General features: G+C 38.4%; 1 annotated feature.

Moving 5' to 3' along the window:
- Positions 19,564-19,683: an enhancer, noted in NCBI's record as "active region_13362". NCBI's record gives its function as "activates an Ori minimal core promoter by ATAC-STARR-seq in GM12878 lymphoblastoid cells {active_cell/tissue: GM12878}" and the evidence as "EXISTENCE:reporter gene assay evidence [ECO:0000049][PMID:35858748]".

Genomic DNA, 20,278 nt, shown 5'->3' on the forward strand with positions numbered 1-20,278 from the left:
TACTGGAGTTGCTTTTAACTCTCGAAAATATATATTCTTAGGGGCATGTTTTCTCTACAGTCAATCTCTTTTCATTCATATAAGACTTTCTGAAGACTTTCTGTGCTGTGTCATCTCCTGTATTTCTTTTTAATATTCCCACTTTTTTTCTTGCTTTTTGTGTCTATTCCAGCAGTCTCAACATGCATTTTTTTATCATGTAAATTCCGACATGACCCACTAGTAGCCTCATACTGCAAGAGTTCACAGTACTTTCTCTTTCCTTTTTCTGACTTCAAGACTTTGCTTAGACGGTCATTAGGCTAAGTGACAAGCATTTTAAACTATGACTCATCATCTTCCTTGTAAGTCAGTCCTCTATTTCTATGAGTAACTTTTTCTCCTGAACCCTGCTTTGTGAACCCTGTAAGTTCCAAAGATGCAAAACATTTTTCATGCTTTTTTATTTTTTTTTCTTTTTTAGGTGGAGTTTCGCTCTTGTCGCACAGGCTGGCGTGCAATGGTGCGATCTCAGCTCACTGCAACCTCTGCCTCCCAGGTTCAAGTGATTCTCCTGCCTCAGTCTCCCGAGTAGCTGGGATTACAGGCGCCTGCCACCATGCCCAGCTAATTTTTGTATTTTTAGTAGAGACGGGGTTTCACCATGTTGGCCAGGCTGGTCTCGAACTCCTGACCTCAGATGATCCGTCAGCCTTAGCCTCCCAAAGTATTGGGATTACAGGCATGAGGCACCATCCCCAGCCCATCTTTCATGCTTTTTATCCATAAATTACCATAATTTAAAAAATATTTCCCAAATGAAGTTCATGAAATTTAGACTGTGGATGCCTTTGGTTTTTTAACATTTTTATTTTCTATTATAAATTCCTCTTCTTAAATTAGAAACTGATCCTCTCTTCTTGCTCTTACTTTGCCAATTTTTAGTCCTGAATAAAATAAAGCAAAGGGGAGAATAAAACTAATAAACTAAAATAACACAAGATAATGCAATGAGAATACACATGGTACCAGAAACCACATGGGATTGAACAGAAGGGCCTTCCCTCTCATGTGAGTGCCTTCTGCCTTTCCCTCTCTATTCCCAATATTCGTCTCTGCCTGAGATAGTTTACATTTCCATATATCACACTAATATTTTCACATCTCTAAAACTATATTCTCTCCCTTATAGAACAACTTACAAAAGGTTGATGTTATGCAAATCAAGAGTTGCACAATCTAAGAGTCTCTGACTTCTGCTTTACACAATTTTTTTTTTTTAGTTTAGGAGCAAAGTTTTAATAGGCAAGAGAGAGAGAAAGAGAAAGGAAAACAGCTCTCTCTCTAGTGACAGAGAGGGGACTTCTGAGAGGAAAGGCCCGCTTTGCACATTTTATTTATTTAGTTGGTGTTAGTTGATTGATTTCTCTGTAACAACAGAGCTCAGGGACCTTAATACCTGACCGCACAAACCAAATAGAAAGCGTTGACAAATGTCTAAGAGACCCAATCATCTACTATATTAGTTGACTATTGCTGTATAACAATTACCCCCAAAATTAGTTTTTTGAAACAGAAAACACAAATTATGTCACAGTCTCTGTGGGGCAAGAATTCAGGTGCAACTTAGCAGGGTGCCCTTGGTTCAACGTCTCTCACAAATCAAAGTGTTGGCTGGGCATGCCGTCCTATCTGAAGGCTTTTCTGATGGGTATCTGTCTCCAAGCTCACTCAACTGGTTGCTAGCAGGATCTAATTCCTTGTGCCACATGATGTATGTAGTATGTGCATGTCTCCATAGCACATACGGAAAGGTGTAGGCTCTTTGAAAAGACCAGTAAGATAAACAACGCTCTGGCCAGTCCAAAGATAAAAGAGAGAGAGAGACAGAAAAGGATAGCATTAATGATGAGAAAGTATATATAGCAACAGATATGATTACTTTAAAAATTATCAGGGAACTATATGTTATTCTATTTTACTAAATCGAAAATCTCAGTCAATGGATTATTTTCTAGAAAAATATAAATTACAAGACTTACTCAAGAAGAAATAGAAAACTCAAATAAACCAAAATTATTAAAGAAATGAAAAGCAATTATTAAAATATGATCCACACAAAAACCCTATACTTTTGTCTGCGGAAGTTCTAACCACCTTCAAGAAACAGAAAATCCCTACATCATTTAAATTTTGCAAGCATAAAAAGATGGAAACATACCAATTTCTGTTACAAAATTAGCACAATAGTAACTAATCCCACACTTATGCCTAATAGATACAAAAAAATGCTAAATGAAACCTTAGTATACTAAATTCAGATGTATAACACAAAGGTTATGCATCATAACCAAGTAGGGTTTATTCCAGGAATGCAATGGCGCTCCAACTTGGAAAATGGATTGATATATGTTACAACATCAATTGGACAAAATAAACAATTCATATAACCATCCTGATAGAAAGTAAAGCATGGGATAAAATTCACTATCAGTTTCTAATTTTTAAAAAAACTATTAATAAAATAGAATATAAGAGTTTCCCTTACCATTATTTACAGTAATCTCTCTCCCTGACCAACTTTTCCAGTACAGTCAGGAGCAATATAAGGAAGTCAATCATCACCACTTCTATTTAAGATTGTGCTCCAATTTCAATATATGCAATTAAACCTGAAAACAAAATATTGTGAAGGAGAAAGAAAAATGACCAGGAATTATAGATGTTATGGTTGCTTACCTATGAAAGATATTGGAAAAAGGAGATTTACCTGAAAAAGTATTAGAACTGACATCCCGGTTAGTATTCAGCTGCTATGTCATAGAAAGTTTGTACAAACTGTTCACACCTGGTATCTGAGCCGATTGGTTCTTTCTCAGACTGCATCACTATCATTTTGATTTGTGGCTTCTAATAAGATATATCATTAAGAAGGCTGGCAATAAAACAATAGGTAAATCAGCAGCTTTCCTACTTATCAACAGTGAACAGTTTAAAAAAAAACATAAAGGCAAGATGATCCTATTCATAGTAGTAAAAAGACATAAAATATCTAGAAATAAGCTGGACAAAAATTATGCAAGATCTTAATAAAAATGATTAAATTTTACTGAGGGCCATATAAAAAGACTTGCATATTGACAAATTGTATTCCTGTAGTAAGAATAGCTAATATCATACAAATTCTCTGCAAATTAACCTACAAATGTAACTCAATCCTGCTGAAAATCTAATGGATTTTCTTTTCAGCGCTTGACAAAATTCTGGGAGAATAAACACGCAAACATGTTCTCAAAAAGAAGAATAATGAGTTGGGGTTTTCCTTTGCAGATATCCAAATGTGTTATAAAGCCACAATATGTACAGTAATTTGACATAGGTGCCAACATAGACACATCAGTGAAATCAAGTAGAAAATCCGAAAGCAGACCTACGTATATTTAAGAATTTAGTGAATGATAAAGATGCCATTTCAAATCTGTGGGGAAAAGATAAATTATTCAATTAATAGCTGAGGGAAATATGGTGACTAGTTTTATAATCTTGAGGTTGGAAAGGCCTTTCTGAACATGACACTGCAGGATGAAATCATAAAGGAAAATAAAGACACTTTTGACTTCCAAAAAAATTATACTGACAAAAACTAATATTGGCCATTAAATAAATCAGAAAATAACTTTTTTTTAAGGCAAGATTTTCTTGTTTATCCTTCTATCCCAGATCCTGCAACAGTGTGTGCCACATAGTAGGCATTTGAATGAGTGGATACACAAACAGGTCTTGCAAGTCAGTAAGGGGAAAAATGAACACCTCCATTTTTACAATGAGCAAAAGACATGGATCAAAAAGAAGAAACACGAAAGGTCAGTAAAAAAGCTCAAATAGTATACATTACACCAGCAGTAAGGTAAATACAAACTAAAACCATAGTTCACCATTTTTTACCTATTACTATTTCTCTTTTTACACTGAAATGGACAACATATGGGCAAAGAAGCACTCATAAACTGCTGGTAGGAAAATTAAAATCTGTGCAATATAATTGAAAGTCTTTAAAACTGCAGACTCTCTGACCTAGTAATTCCACTCCTAGGAATTTTTTCTAACGAAATCATTAAACAAGCAGGCAAAGACATATATACAAGGATATTCATCAAGCACTCTTTACAAGAGTGACAACTAGAAACAAATGTTCACAAATAGCGAATGGGTTTCATAAACCTTGGTACACTTTTTCAATCGAATACCACGCAATAAGGATAAGTAATGATGCAACTACGTATTAGCTAATATCAAAAGATGTTCATCATATACTGTTAGTTCAGAAAGCCAGTTACAAAACAGCATATGTAAAAATCATATTTACATGCCTAGAAAAAATAGACAATAAATATTAAAATTTCAAGAGTGATTTTTATCATGGTAGCTTTATTTTCTTCTTCTTTTTTTTTTTTTTTTTTTTTTGAGACGGAGTCTTGCTCTGTTGCCTAGGCTGGAGTGCAGTGGCATGATCTCGGCTGACTTCAACCTCTGCCTCCCAAGTTCAAGCGACTCTCTTGCCTCAGGCTCCCAAGTAGCTGGGATTACAGGCATGCACCACCATGCCCAGCTAATTTTTTGTATTTTTAGTAGAGATGGGGTTTCACTGTGTTAGCCAGGATAGTCTCAATATCCCGACCTCATGATCTGCCCTCCTCAGCCTCCCAAAGTGCTGGGATTACAGGCGTGAGCCACCATGCCTGGCCTTATTTTCTTCTTAATGATCTTTTATGTGATCTAATTATTAACACTACCATGTGCTACTTCTATAATAAAAGTGTTGATTTTTAAAAACAATATAAAAGTAGTATTTGGTCTACGGAAATAAATCTTTTGTTGTCTTTTTTGATGTTTCCCCATCCCCTGAGCTTATTCTTTTTACTATGTGTATACACATATATAGATATATTATATATGTATATATACAGATGTATATATACATATATGTGTATATATGTACATATATACATATGTACACACACATGTGTATATCTGTACATATATACATATGTACACACACGTGTATATATGTATATATACAGATGTACATATACATATATGTGTATATATGTATATATACAGATGTACATATACATATATGTGTATATATGTATATATACAGATGTACATATACATATATGTGTATATACGTATATATACAGGTGTACATATACATATATGTGTATATACGTATATGTACACCTGTATATATACATATATGTGTATATACGTATACGTACACCTGTATATATACATATATGTGTATATACATATACGTACACCTGTATATATACATATATATGTATATACATATACGTACATCTGTATATATACATATGTGTATATACGTATATACATATGTATATACACACATAGGTATACAGATGTATATACACATATGTGTATATACGTATATACACATATATGTGTATATATGTGTATATATGTGTGTATATACACATATATGTGTATATATGTGTATATATGTGTGTATATACACATATATGTGTATATATGTGTATATATGTGTGTATATACACATATATGTGTATATATGTGTATATACGTGTGTATATACACACATATGTGTATATATGTGTATATACATATGTATATACACACATATGTGTATATATGTGTGTATATACACACATATGTGTATATATGTGTGTATATACATATGTATATACACATATATGTGTATATATGTGTGTATATACATATGTATATACACATATGTGTATATATGTGTATATACATATGTGTGTATGCATATATGTGTATATATGTGTATATGCATATGTGTGTATGCATATATGTGTATATATGTGTATATGCATATGTGTGTATGCATATATGTGTATATATGTGTATATGCATATGTGTGTATGCATATATGTGTATATATGTGTATATGCATGTGTGTATGCATATATGTGTGCATATGTGTCTATGCATGTGTGTATGCATATATGTGTATATGCATGTGTGTATGCATATGTGTCTATGCATATATGTGTATATATGTGTATATGCATGTGTGTATATATGTGTATATGCATATGTGTATATATGTATATATGTGTATATACATATATGTGTATGTATGTATATATGTGTATATACATATATGTGTATGTATATATGTATATACGTATATATACATATATAATATATCTATGTGTGTGTGTGTATATATATATATATATATAAAATTTGCAAGCATTTGTGAGAAGGTAACATTTGGAAATTACTAAATGGTAACCCCTAAATTTCCCTCCAACCTCCACTATCATATTCAGCTGCAAACTTCCACTCACTTTATCACATTACCCTGCCTTACTTTTAAAAAATTTTCTTCACAACCTTCTAGGTGAAGTCAGGTCATTTACACATTTGCATAATTGCTATTCATTTTTTTCCGCCAACTTGTAATCTCCATAAGATCAGGGACTTGAACTGTTTATGCACAAAGCTATATCCCAGTACCTAAGACAATGACTGATATATAGTTGAGGCTCAAATATATGTTGAATAAATGAGTGAGTGAATGAGTTTGTTTTGGCAGAGTTGGTTTACTTTTTGTGGTTATGCAAAGATTGATTGCCTCTTGAGAATCTTTTCGAATTAGGCCTACTAATTTTTTCTATTAAGCAGTGAGGCTGACCTTCCAGGCAGTGGTATATGATAGAAATCACTCAAGTCTAGAAGTCAGTAGAGCTGGACTCCAGTTCTGATCTTACCACACACAAGCTTCTTAAATAAATCAGTTTTGAAGTTCTTGCTACACAAGATTAGCCCTAATCAAAAGCTGAAAAGGTCAAGAGGCTGCTGCCCTCGCTCCCCGTGTGCTGTTTTATATCTTCAGCAGGGTCCGCATGCTCTCCTCCATGCCCATGCCCTCTCCTGCTTCACTCTCCCAGTTGATGGTAAGGCTGCCTGAGCCTCTGAGATGGTGAATTTATGTGTCAGCCTGACTGGGCTAGGGGCTGCCCAGATGGGTGGTAAAACATTGCTTCCGGATGTGTCTGTGAGGGTGTTTCTGGAAGAGATTGGCATTTGAATTGGGAGACTGAGTAAATAAAATCACCCTTACCAATGTGGATGAACATTATCCAATTACTGAGGGCTCACAGAACCAAAAGGCAGAGGAAGGGCGCATTCACTCTCTTCTTGAGCTGAGACATCCATCCTCTCCTCCCTTCAGACATTGGAACTCCTGGTTCTTCGGCCTTCAGACACGAACTGAATTATGCTTGCAGATGGCAGACAGTGACATTTCTCAGCCTCCATAATCACATGAGCCGGTTCCCATGTCAATCAATCAATCAGTCAATCAATCAATCTTCTATTGATTTTGCTGCTCTGCAGAGCCCTGACTAAAACAGCCTGTATGGGTTGCACTCTGCCCATCTCCAGGGGATACAGATTCATATCCTTGCACTTACGACCTTCCTCATTTGCATCTCATGGAAATACACTTTCAAGGTAGTATCCAAAAAACTCACATAGATTGTCCTATACCCTACCTGCTTACTCGTAAGTGCAAAATAATTTTGTTATCTGCAAAACAGAATCTCTGGGGCAGAATCACTGTCATCTTGTGATGTATAACACTCAAGTGACAAAAATATGCTAGATAATGACAAGGCACATTTACCAGTCACATATGTACAGCCCATGTATGATGGTATAAAAAAAATCACAATGTTTTCTAATACACAAAAACTTAATGACTAATAGATGTTATCACTAACTATGCATCCAACTCTTTAAATACCATCAGCCCTGCGGAAGGTAGAAAAAGTTGGGTCAACTCCTAGCTTGGTGGGCTTGAGATCTAAATTGTAAATGTGAGATACTATTATCTGAGCCTCCCAGGACTGCCTTGGCACCGGGAGGACTAGTACTGCACTCTTTAATTTAATCCTCCCCTGTTTTTTTCTTCCCAGATATTTATAATACAACTGTGGAAAGGTGCTCCTGACAGGAAGTTGGCATACAACCTCTCAGGCTGGGAGCAAATATCTGAATCAGATAGGAAGAAAACACTCCAAACGGATCAATTTGTTCAAATTTTAGAGTTGAAACTCAGGTCTAGAGACACTGAGTGATGTCAGGGAATAGATAATTTATCTGATAACCCAAATTTCAAGTCCCTGCTTTTTCTTCAATTTTCCAAGTAATACAAGCCAAAGCTGATTTCCTCTTATGTATGAAGTCAATGATCATATCAAAGTAGGCCTATTTCAAGATGCTGCATGAAAGACTCTACTATCAAGCATAGGCTTGACTTTCCAGAATCAGATTTTAAAAGCCTTTGGCACTTAAATAAAACATCTTCATTTTGTAACAGACCAGCCTTTTCTTTCCTTTTTGCAGGAGTGGGAAGTGAAATTACATACCATGTGGTTTTCATAATTTAAAAACATATCATAAGGATGCATTTTTAAGACTGTGGGAAAGATAATGAAGGTATTTATGGGACAGCCAGGTATGAGACTATCTGGGCTGGAGATAAAGTAAATGACTTGAGAATGGAAGACTTAACCATTCACTGGACTCAGAGAACACCAATCATCTTTGTTCTACAGGAGAAATCAGAGACTACGTTCTACCACTCAGGAAATGGCAATTAATGGAATAGCTTAAAAGAGAGAGCAGTCTTTGAAACATATGGAGATTGCACATCAGCTCCAGGTGGGCTGGAAGAAAGTAGGAGCACTACTGGCAACGATACATTCTCCACTCAGGCCACATAGCCAGACAGTGCTGCATCAACTCAGCAATGTTATGCAGCATCCCACGATTACTAAAGCGCTTAAGTAGACACCATCTCATCTGATCTTCACATTTATCCTTTGAGAGGAGCAGGCTAAAGCTAGGTTCTCTGGAACATAGGACCAGCTTAGAGACTGGCCCATGGATGTCTTCAAATAAGTTGAATCAGTTAGTAACATGGGCTGGAGTCAGGGTCAAGACTAGAAGGCCTAGGAATTTTAAGATTCTTATGGGCATATAACATTATGTGTATGCATTTCTGCAGCCTCCACTGCATCTACAGTAGTAGTTTACAGAAAAATTAATTGCTGCTTTGCTGCTAACTAGTAATATTTATTAAGCATTTGCAATTTGCCATTAATTTTCTAAGCATATCACATAGATTACCTTATTTTATTCTCACAATCACCCTAAAAGTCACTCAATAAATATCCATTGAATGAATGGCTGAACTTAAGTCAGTCAAACAACACTTGGTGATACTACTTTCTCCCTTTACAACCACAACATCATGACCTCCATTTGACTCTATTGGGAAGCACGTGGATACTAGAAAGGAAAGGGAATAAAAGATCACCTTCACGGCAGCACAGAGATTGCACTCATGGAAAACAGAATCCTTGGAAAAGGATGCCATGACTCAGATAAGAAATGACGAAGATCTAAACTAAGGATGTGATCATTGAGTTGAAGAGGAGACAGAATATTTAAGTGAACTAGTCTTGTTGCTGGACTGGATAGAAATAGGGAAAGAAAGCACGCCGTGATGGTCAGGAATCTGGTATGAACAACCTGAGAGAATGTAGTTCAATTCAAAGAAACAAAGGATGATGGTGCTTTGGAGGATGAGGATATTGATTCCTGTTTTGGATGAGTTGAATTTGAAGCACCTGCCAGGTATCCAGATGCTGAAGTCCAGTTGAGTAAAAAAAAAAAATTATGTCTGAAATTTCAGGACTGAGATCTGGGATGAAAATTATCAGCTTCCATCAGCCTGACTTGGGAATCATCCACCAAAAGAGTAATGAAGCCATGGAAATGCCTGTGCCCACCCAAGCTACATGGTTTGGACTTTGTCCTATAGTTAGGGAACCACTTTCCATCTACTTTTCAGGTTTCTCACACCTGGAGGGCCTCACTGCTGTTCACCATATCACAGTGGCACCCTGTCTTCTCCAGCTCTCTGCCTCTTCAGCCACCATCTGGGTGATTGCCACCATGCTTTAACAAACTCTGTTCTTACCCAGCTTTGTTCCTTGTCTTCTCCTCTTCATCACTTGAAGCATAAGCTCCCCACTGCCTTTACGGACTCCTGATGGGCACTGTGCCGTTTTCCACTCCCTGACTCCAGTCCAGCATCCACCCTTTGCTGGGGTTGACAGTAACATTTCAACCACTGCCCCTGCCACTCTGCCCCAGGTTCAGAAAGAACAGTGACTCCTCGACCAAGCAGAAATGAAGAGTGCCCTCCCCGGCCCCCTGCACTCTGTCTCACACCCACATTTGCATTCCTTCTCAGCTTGTTTCCACTCTGCCAGTTTTGTTTGCATGTCTGGCACTAGGGGTGGCTCCCAGGGCCTTTTGCAGCCCTCTTCTTCCACCCAGAAGGAAGGTGGACCAGTCTGACTCCAACGTGCTACCGAATGCCAACTGGCAGGTGGCTGGGTGACGGGAGGGTGATGACACTGCAGGGCACTCCCAGCAGGCAGGGAATCAGGGCACCAGATTGGCACCCACAGTTGCAGCTTCAAACCGTCAACAACAGCCAGAATCCTGGACGCTGAACCTTCCTGTCATTCCCACAATCTTGGAATCTTCTCAGAGTGGCTTGAATACTAATGTAAAGGAAATTTCTCAGAAACCACATTCAGTCTGGGAGTCAGGGAGCCAAAATTGGATCTCATCCTCTTCTAGGTGCGTACTGCATACAGACTCACTCCCAAAACCCGTCCTAATCTCCTCAAAGATGGGGGAGAGAGCAATCGCTAGACAAATGTAACCAATGTTCTTCTTCTGCAGACATACCAGCTTCTGCTTTGCTGTTCTCAAATTTGGGGATATAGTGTCATATTGCTTTTGCAGCTTCAGGGTAGCATGCCTTCTCCTGTTACTGATTTCTAAGAATTTCTACCAGAGAATGCATGGAAACCATCAGCGTCCCAGCTTGAAACTAAACTTTATTCCTAAATGGGCTTCTTTCCAGCTTTCATGCTCACTCTCAGAAATTCACCTTCTCCTTCTTGAGAAAAGAAGGCTTTTTCCTCTCTGCACCCACCACTGCTCAACAACTGCACAACCCTTCCAGGTTATCTCTTTCATGCACACACCACAGCAGCTTTCATTTCTACTCCATTTAATCAGATCTCACCATGCCCCACGGGCAACCTTACGACCAAAGGGCAACAGTTCATTTGGGTTAGGATGTGTTCTAGATATTTCTTGTTATCCTTTCCAGATCCACTCTCCACCCTTTTCTACCCTGCTCTGTATCTTGGGAGGCCAACTCCTGAGAACTGTAGCAGTAGACTCCCATGCCTGCTAGCAATGGGAGTTTAGCCAATGAGACACCTCAGCAGGAGATCAGAGGGTGAGAGGAGAGTGAGGTGAGGGTTTATTGCCCCAGCTCCATCTCTTCAAAGAACTGCCAATTGGATGTGTCTCTCTACTACAGGTTACAGCTCCTGTTAGAAGGCTCTTTCCTTATAGCCCCTCTTTCTGAGCTCCCCATAGCTGCTCCACCACTTGTCCCTTCAGGTCTGGGGGTGGTAAAGGCTACCTGCTGGTGCGAGCCCCAGGGTATTGCGATATTCCTCCCTGGCTTGCTGAAACCCTTCCCACACCTTTGTAAGTCTCTCTTTGATGAACCTCTCCTCAAACACCCATATTAAGTATGCTGTCTGTCTCTGGCCTGGACCCTGAATGAAACAGGAGATTGTTACTATATTATGATGGAGGATTTTTGCTAATTTAGCTCAATTTAAGTTAACAAATATCATCTAAGTGCCTAGGACGTGTCAGGTCCTATTCTGTGCATTTGGGTTATAGCAGCAAATAAAAGAGAAAAATTTCTGCCTTCATAAAGATTATATTCTAATGGGAGAGATAAATAATAATTTTTAAAATGAGCAAATTATATAATCTATTAGCAGGTGACTCATGCTATGAAGAAAAAATAAATCAAATAAATGGGACAGGGAGTCAGAGGTTGGGAGGCATGCAATTTTATATAGAGTGGCCAAAGATGGTCTCACAGAGAAGAGATTTGAATGAGAGTGCAGTGAGGGCACAATGAAGTATAGTATGTACATGGAAGGTTTCCCTCAAAGAGTTTACACCCAAGTTAGGAAGATGAGATGGACACACAGGAAATTACACATGCCACAAGACGATAAGTCAAGAGATGTTAAATGGCAGTAGATGATTAAATGCCAGCAAAAAATGTTTACGATAGTAAGTTCTTCCATTGTCGTAGGTTATGTATTTTTGCAAAACAGGCTTTGAAATGAAGCTTAGTTTGTGGTGTGTTTATTAGAAAGTGCCCTGGGCAACAATGTCTATAGAAAGAAGGAGAAGGAATCAGAGTTGGGTGCAAGGAGAAGTCAAACTGCAATGTAGGCCTGACAGTTTCGGCTAGACATTCAGGAAGCTCTACAGCTAAAATGGCTCATCAGAGTTGTACTGTGTTGGACTGAAATGGCAGAGCCTTTAGATGCTCATCTTGATCCGTCACTGGATGTGGGTCAGCACCTGGGAGGGTATGACCTTGGGCTAGTCAGCTTTCTGAAGCTAAAACAATCCTTGCAGGAGCTGAGAGCTACAGGCTAGAGCAAAAAATCTTTCTTTGAAGGGGGATCTGGACAGCACATCTCTGTGTGCACCTAAACAATTGGTAAAAATACTTGAAAATGAGATTGTTGAACCATTATCTATATATCATTGAAGAATTCTAGTTACTAGAGATGTGCAAATACAAATCTTATTTTTGGTTCTGCATAGTACATATCTATCATCTTGAGGTTGATCTTGAGGAAGATTCTAGGATGAATTGTTAAAGTAAAGGTCTGTAGACTCTTAGAAAATGTGGTAAAAATCTAAGACACATGTTCCCTAAGAACAACTCCTGCCAAATGTATCTCACTTTCTTTGAAAATGTTATTAAATTAGTCCATCAGGGGATTTGATAGACAGAGTATGTCTAGATTTCAGAGAAATTATAATGATGTTCTTGTCAGAATGGCATGCTAGACTACATGCCTGCCATATCAATTCAACCTCGCCTTCCAGTTTCATCAGCTTAATCATCTCTGTAAGATGCAGACCTTCTTACTAAATGATTTCACTCTCCCTATTCCTCACCCTCAGTCAATAGGACAGGCTTGACCAAGGAAACCAATCTGCCACCAGGTCAATAACCAGATTCTGTCCTTCCAGAATTTGAATAGTAAAAAAAGAGAAAGAAAGAAAGAAAGAAAGAAAGAAAGAAAGAGAAAGAGAGAGAGAGAGAGAAAGAGAGAAAGAAAGAGGAAGGAAGGAAGGAAGGAAGGAAGGAAGGAAGGAAGGAAAGGGAAGGAAAGGAAAGGGAGGGGAGGAGAGGGGAGGGAAGGGGAGGGAGGGAGGGAGGAGGGGAGGAGAGCAGAGGGGAGGGCAGGGGAGGAGAGGGAAGGGGAGGGGAGGGGAAGGGAGGGGAAGGGAAGGGGTAAGGAAAGAAGGGAAGGAAAGAAGGGAAGGGAAGGAAAGAAGGGAAGGGAAGAAGGAAGGAAATGGAAGAGGGGAAGGGAAGGGAAGGGAAAGGAAAGGGAAGGGAAGGGAAGGGAAGGGGGAAGGAAAGAAGAGAAGGAAAGGAAGAAGGGAAGGGAAGGGAAGGCAAGGCCAGGGAAGGCAAGGCCAGGAAAGGGAAGGCTAGGGGAGGGAAGAAAGAGCAGGCAGATGGCATTGATTCCCAGAACAGTATGTTCATGTGAAATGGTGCCAGGGTGCCATGGAAAGTCAAAACTAAGGGGAGGTGAAGCCAAGAACCTCACTGAATCAATCAAGAAGTAAGAAAAATGGAGAAGATGTGTAGACCCAAACAGGAGAGTTTGTGTAGAGAGTATGTGTAGACCCAAACAGGAGAAATGGAGAAATTAGCTGACTAATGGTTTTCCAATTCCATGGGTTCCAGCATTATTTCCTACAAGTGAATTATATCAGAATTCCTTGAGTCCTTAGAAGTCTATTTTTACTTAAGCCACTTTAAATGTGTTTGTATTACTTGCAACCCGATAATGCCTAAAATGACTTTCTAATCATATTCTTATAAATTGGATAATATACTGGTTAATGAACCAGATGGCAATATATTAGATGGGTTATTAATTGGTTAGAAAAATATCTAGAAAAAAACTGCTTAATTAGTTGATAGATACATAGAAGGGGTTCCAAATGGCTTCTATAGTGCTGTATCCTCATTGCTGAGGCATTCAAAAGTTTTGTCAGTGACTAGAATGTATGCTGCCTGAAAGTAGGTATTATGAACACCTCACAAAGTGCCATGTTTAGGACAGAGCACAGTGTTGACAGACAGCAGGTGTTCAGTAGAAAAGCTAAGTATATAAAAATACAGATTTTGCAGATAACATGAATCAAAGAAAGATAGTGATTTTGATGGATGAGAGAATTAAAAATCAGCATGGGAAAATAATTATATCTTATAAGAGTAACTGCAAAGTTCTGGAAATGGGTTCAAAAGATAAAAAGTGTATCTTAGGGGCATATTGAGTAAAGAAATGTAGAGTTTTCCTAGATAGGGGCTAAAGAGGAGCAGCAAAGTGAAGTACTTGTAAAAGAATTGATGTAGGTTTAGGCTGTGCTCATGGAGGCATCGTATCTGAAGAAGAGGCTGGTCCTGTGGAAGCATACACCAGTCAAACCACATGCAGAATATCTTGTTTGGTCCTGGGCACCACCTTCAGATAACAAAGCGTAAACAAGAGTGTAGTTAGAAGATGGGGATCAGAAGGGCAAAGTGACTCAAAAGCATTTCAGAAAGGCCCGGGGATGAATAACCTACAGAACTACAAACTTAGAGCAGACAGTGTGGTGAATTAAGGCAGCCTTCAAGCCTCTAAATAGTTGTCATCAGGATGAAGAATTGGCTCATTAAGTCTCTCTCTTTCAAGAGAGAAAAAAACTAAGACCCATGGGTGGAATCTATATTCTTTCTATCAGTGAAAAATCAATTGAGCAACTTAACTTCAACCAGTCATTGTCTTGGTACTGGCTACACTATACCGAACAAAGCAGACAGCTGCCTTCATGGAACTGATGGTCTAGCAGGGATACTCACGTTCATCAAAAGATCATGGCATAAATGCATAAGAAGGGCTATTGAGGATGAGTAGAAAATGCTATCAGAGTTCCCCGAAGTTAGAGGAATGGATTTGTTTTGATTTAATTTTTGCTTTGAATTATTTTGTTTTATTTAAGAGTTCAAGAAACTGAAAAGCAATATTGCTGAAACGTAGTGAACAAATAGGAGAACGGCATAAACTTTGGGAGAAAGAATTAAAATGTTAGAGCAAAAGACCAGGGAAGAGATATTAAGTCATAAACTAGACTAGGGTGGTGGCAATGCAAGTAGAGAGAAATTGTTGCATTTAAGGTTCATTTTGGAGGTAAAACCTAAATGACTTCAGGATATATTGGGCAGAGGTAAGTAAGACATTCATTAATTCAACTTGATATTTGTTATTATCTGGGTGAAAACTGACCTAAAATATTTTATACTCTTCATAAAGTGTTGAGTCAATGAAACAAATTTGGAAGTAAGGTACTTGGAAGGGTATGTTTAACCAGCTTCAGAGAATAAATATGTAAATATTTTTAAGGGCTTAGGTAAATGCCCTGTGAAAGTAAACTCACATGGTCTCTATAATTTGAAATAAATTTCCAAAGTTCAGGTTGCTCACAGATCCAAATCAGTCTTTATCCTTCAATCACTTATCTATTCAAAAATTTTTATTTAACATTTAAAATACACGAGAAGCTGTTTGAGTTGCAAAGATGAATCAGGAAAGGGCTTGTACAAAAGTAAGAGGAACACAGACTGTGTCCTACCTTAGGGCTTCTGAGACGCCTGCATAGCAAAGGATCTAGAGAAACAGTGAAGGTTTCATTTGTGCTGTGCCTTGGAAGGTGGGGCATTCAGCACAGATAGGCAGGCATTCTAAGAGGAATCAGCATGCCATGGCGGCAAGGGGATTGGGAACATGGGCTGGAACAGTAAAAATGTTAAAATAGTCTGGGGTGATGACTAGAAAGTGTTAGTAAAACATTTAATGAATGAAAAATGAAAATATTCCTCCCTAATGTACTTTATGCATCACAGATTCATCTAAACTTATAGGTGAAATGGAACTTTAGAGAGCAAATTCTTCAATCCCTTTAGCCTTCATGATTGTGTTGCTATGGCTTGACTGCTGAGCCAGGACCTAGGATTCCAGTGGTCTTTCTCCCATAGCAAAGAAACAAAAAAAATGTTGCTCTAACTTCCAGGTTTCTGATGATTAGATCCTGTTTTCTCTCCAATATTCTCCTAAACTCTGAGTGGCATTGTTGTTTTATAATTACGCTTCTAGGTCATCCACATGCCCCACTGATATGGTTTGGCTGTGGCTCCACCCAAATCTCATCTTGAATTGTAGCTCCATTAATTCCCATGTGTCATGAGAGGGACTCAGTGGGAGGTAATTGAATCATGGGGGAGGATTTTTCCTGTGGTGTTCTTGTGATAGTGAATAAGTCTCATGAGATCTGATGGTTTTATAAAGGGGAGTTCCCTTGCACATGCTCTCTCTTGCATGCAGCCATGTAAGATGTCCTTTTGTTCTTCCTTCATCTCCCACCCATGATTGTGAGGCCTCCCCAGCCATATGGAACTGTGAGTCAACTAAACCTCTTTCCTTTGTAAATTCCCCAATCTCGGGTATGTATTTATTAGCACTGTGAGAACAGACTAACACACCCACCAAGTCTGACTTCCATTTATAGGGCTCCAAGATACCAAGTAAGCCTGCAAGTCCTTATTTGGGGCACAAATGTTTGAGGCCCTCCTAAGGTACCTTGTGTCTGTTTTTCTCCTATAATCTCCATACAAGGCTGCACACTTCCAAGAAAGATGTGGGTGGAGCCAGCTCTCAAGACTGTATGCCTAAATGGAGTCAAGGAAACATAAGATTGATGGCTACTCACCCAAAAAATTAGCAGCAGACATAGATCTTGCTGCCAAAAGAGCTGATCTACATTTTTTTTGGCTGAGAAATATCGCAAATTTTTTAATAGACATTCTTCTATAATATGACATCTTTTCTTTACAAATGTCAATGCCTTTTATTAGTCAACTGCTAGTGGCTATTTATTTTTATCTATTTCTTCCAATAGTAGTCAAGGCAAAATAATCTAGCTATTCTCATTCGCCTTTTTGACTAATCCTACCCATTAAAAAAAAAAATGACTGGTCAGGATCAAGAACAAACTAAGACTAAACTTACACAGTATAAACTAAACTTTGACCTTACTATTACTCTACTAACCTGAGCTTCCCAGCCTCTATAATTAGGTAGTGACAGTTAAGAGCTTCAAATTATACACAGCAATCAGTTATTCCTGGCAGCCTCCCTCTTCATACCAAAGATGTCACCATTTGCTTGGTTCTAGGAAACTCAATGTCTGCATTTCCCTTGAGGGCCACCTAGGGAGTTTTTCATGTTGAAGGATGGTTTATTTAACTTATCACAGCTAGTGTTTCTGAAAGATGGTGAGGCTCACAACGTAATAACCACCTGTCATCTCTTATTAGTTAGATATTTCACACTGGAGATTTGTTATATTAAAGGGCACTAAAATTATTGACATCAGATAACTGAATTATAATTAAATTTTATGCAGATTATTAAAATACCATTGTTACTCTTATAGGGGAAAAATAATGGCAACGAGATAGGCTCATGACAGAATTCACTTATTTCTAGCACACCATGTCAGTACGTCATTAAGTGGAGGCTTTGTCAGACCTACTGGCAAAGTCTTACAGGCATTAGCCACTGTGTCCAGCCCTCCACTCTGCTAAGAGCCCCACTCCAAGTGAATGGAAAGAGCGGTCCCATGCTCACAACTGCCCGGTGGAGTGGTGAACTTGGAGAAGAGGTCTAATAGCTATGGCAGGCTCTGACCCAAAGAAAACCCATGTAAAAAAGACAGACTAATCACTCATGAAATATAAAGTAGAAAAAAAAAAACTATAAAAAGCTGAAAGGACTGTAAAAATAATTGTCCTAAAGTTTTTCTCCATATTAACGTCAATTCAAAATCCCCCAGTTCAAAATCCTCTGGAGAAAACAACGTGAGAAATGAAATCTTTGCCACATTTGAGTTGGCCTTCTCTCTGCTTTCCCGTTTCATGTCTTCCCAGAAAAGTCCGGCTTACAACTACACTCCCTCCTCTTAATTTCTGGAGCATATGTTGTGTGTACTGTTCATTATTACTTGGTGAACTTCTCTAGAAACTCTATGTGGAAGTATTATTTATCTCTTCTGACAAGATTTAACTTTCATATATTATTGACTTTTATTTTTAGTAAGAATATACGATTTGTGAGGTTAGGACCCTGGTTTTGTGCTTCTGGTTTACCCACAGAACCTATCATGTAGTACATAGGTGTACAATAAATACCTGTTGCTTCATTAGAAAAGAATGGTGTTGAAGGCCAGACATGGTGGCTCATGCCTGTAATCCCAGCACCTTAGGAGGCTGAGGTGGGAGAATCACTTGAAGCCAGGAGTTCGAGACCAGCCTGGGCAACATGGCAAAACCCTGTCTCTACTAAAAATATAAAAATTAGTCAGGTATGGTGGCACATGCCTGTAGTCCCAGCTACTCAGGAGGCTGAGGCATGAGGATTGCTTGAACCCAGGAGGCAGAGGTTGCAGTGAGCCCAGATCGTGCCCCTGCACTCCAGTGTGGGTGACAGAAGGAGATTCTGTCAACAACAACAAAAAAAAAGAAAGAAAGAAAAAAAAATAAAACAATGGTGTTGGAAAATCTCAAAAGAAACTTTATGTGGCATAGATTGTTGCCAAGCAAATGGAGTTCATATAATTGAATATGAGACAATTCTAAAAGTATAAATTAAAGCATATATCTCTCACTTTTAACTTCTTTATAGTAAATTCTAATGTCCTCAGAACCTGAAGAACTCAAGATTAATGTACTGAAAAGTCAGCGGAGGAGCCCAGTGAAGAGCTTGTGACTAGCACTAACTATCAAGAATGTTTCCTTGGTGAATATTTTTGATGTGCCTCCAGTACCTGCGGTCTCTGCCTTTCTGAAGGGCGTGTGATCCATGCTCCTGGTTCCCTTTCTCAGCTCTCAGACCCTAAGAGCTCCACATCTGGACTCAAGTGGAAATGCAAGGGCTAGAAACACAAAGAAAACCAGGGTGATTTTTTGTGGAATCTATCTGGTACTTCCAGGATGGGCTTATTAGTATTAACCAGAAAAGAAAATATTAAAGAAAACTAATAGAGCCTAATATGGCAGCTTTAAATGATCTTCAAGTTCAGGAAGAAATACTTTTTTGTACAATACTGGTTTGGTCGTCACTCCCATCCATCACTTCAGTTATCTGGTCAACACACGAGTCATCTTTGTATTAGTGACTGTACACATATGTGAACTTCACGGTTGGAGGTGAGTGTGATACAGGTCAAACTCACCACATCCCTTTAAAGAACTGCAATTTGAAGTTCTAGCCAACACCACCCTATTTCCACCCATGCCTGGCTTCACTTCCTCTGCCATCAGCCTGTGTTGAAGTCCTAAAATAGCTCCCTATTGAGTCTTCAGTGAGATTTCCATTTTAAAGGATGGTACTGTCTCAGCTGGGCTCTGCTGGCTAACTGTGCATGTTGAAGCTAGCAAAAGAAAGTCATGCCTCCTTTGCATTGTTTGATCTAAAGTCTTTGGAAAAGGCTTTGTAACATTCTTTTGTTGTAAAGCCCTAGTCAGAAAAGATAAAAGATAAATATAAATACTATATAAAGAGAAGAAGCATCTATGTACGGAACCTTTCAAATCATAATTAGGAAGGAGTATGAAACATTTAACTGGAAGGCAACATCCAGAAATTTATAAGCCCAATTGTGTACATTTGAAATCTGAATCTCTCATGTCATTTGGAACAATTTACTTATTTCCATTGTGCCTCACTTTTCTCATCTGTAAAACGAGGGTAACAGAAGCAACTACCCCATAATGATATTGGGAGGATTATAGAAAGTAATACATTGAAAGCATTTGGAACAATGCTTGCCTTGTGGTGAGTGGCAGTGTTAAAACATAAAAATATTCCTGATTGCCGGAAGGTACTGCCAGTTAATGGATATCACCTGATTTGTATAGAAAATTCTTACTGATCTCAAAATGTGCACTGTAAACAATTGT

This window comes from Homo sapiens, chromosome 18, assembly GCF_000001405.40.
Source record: "Homo sapiens chromosome 18, GRCh38.p14 Primary Assembly".
Classification (NCBI taxonomy): domain Eukaryota; kingdom Metazoa; phylum Chordata; class Mammalia; order Primates; family Hominidae; genus Homo; species Homo sapiens.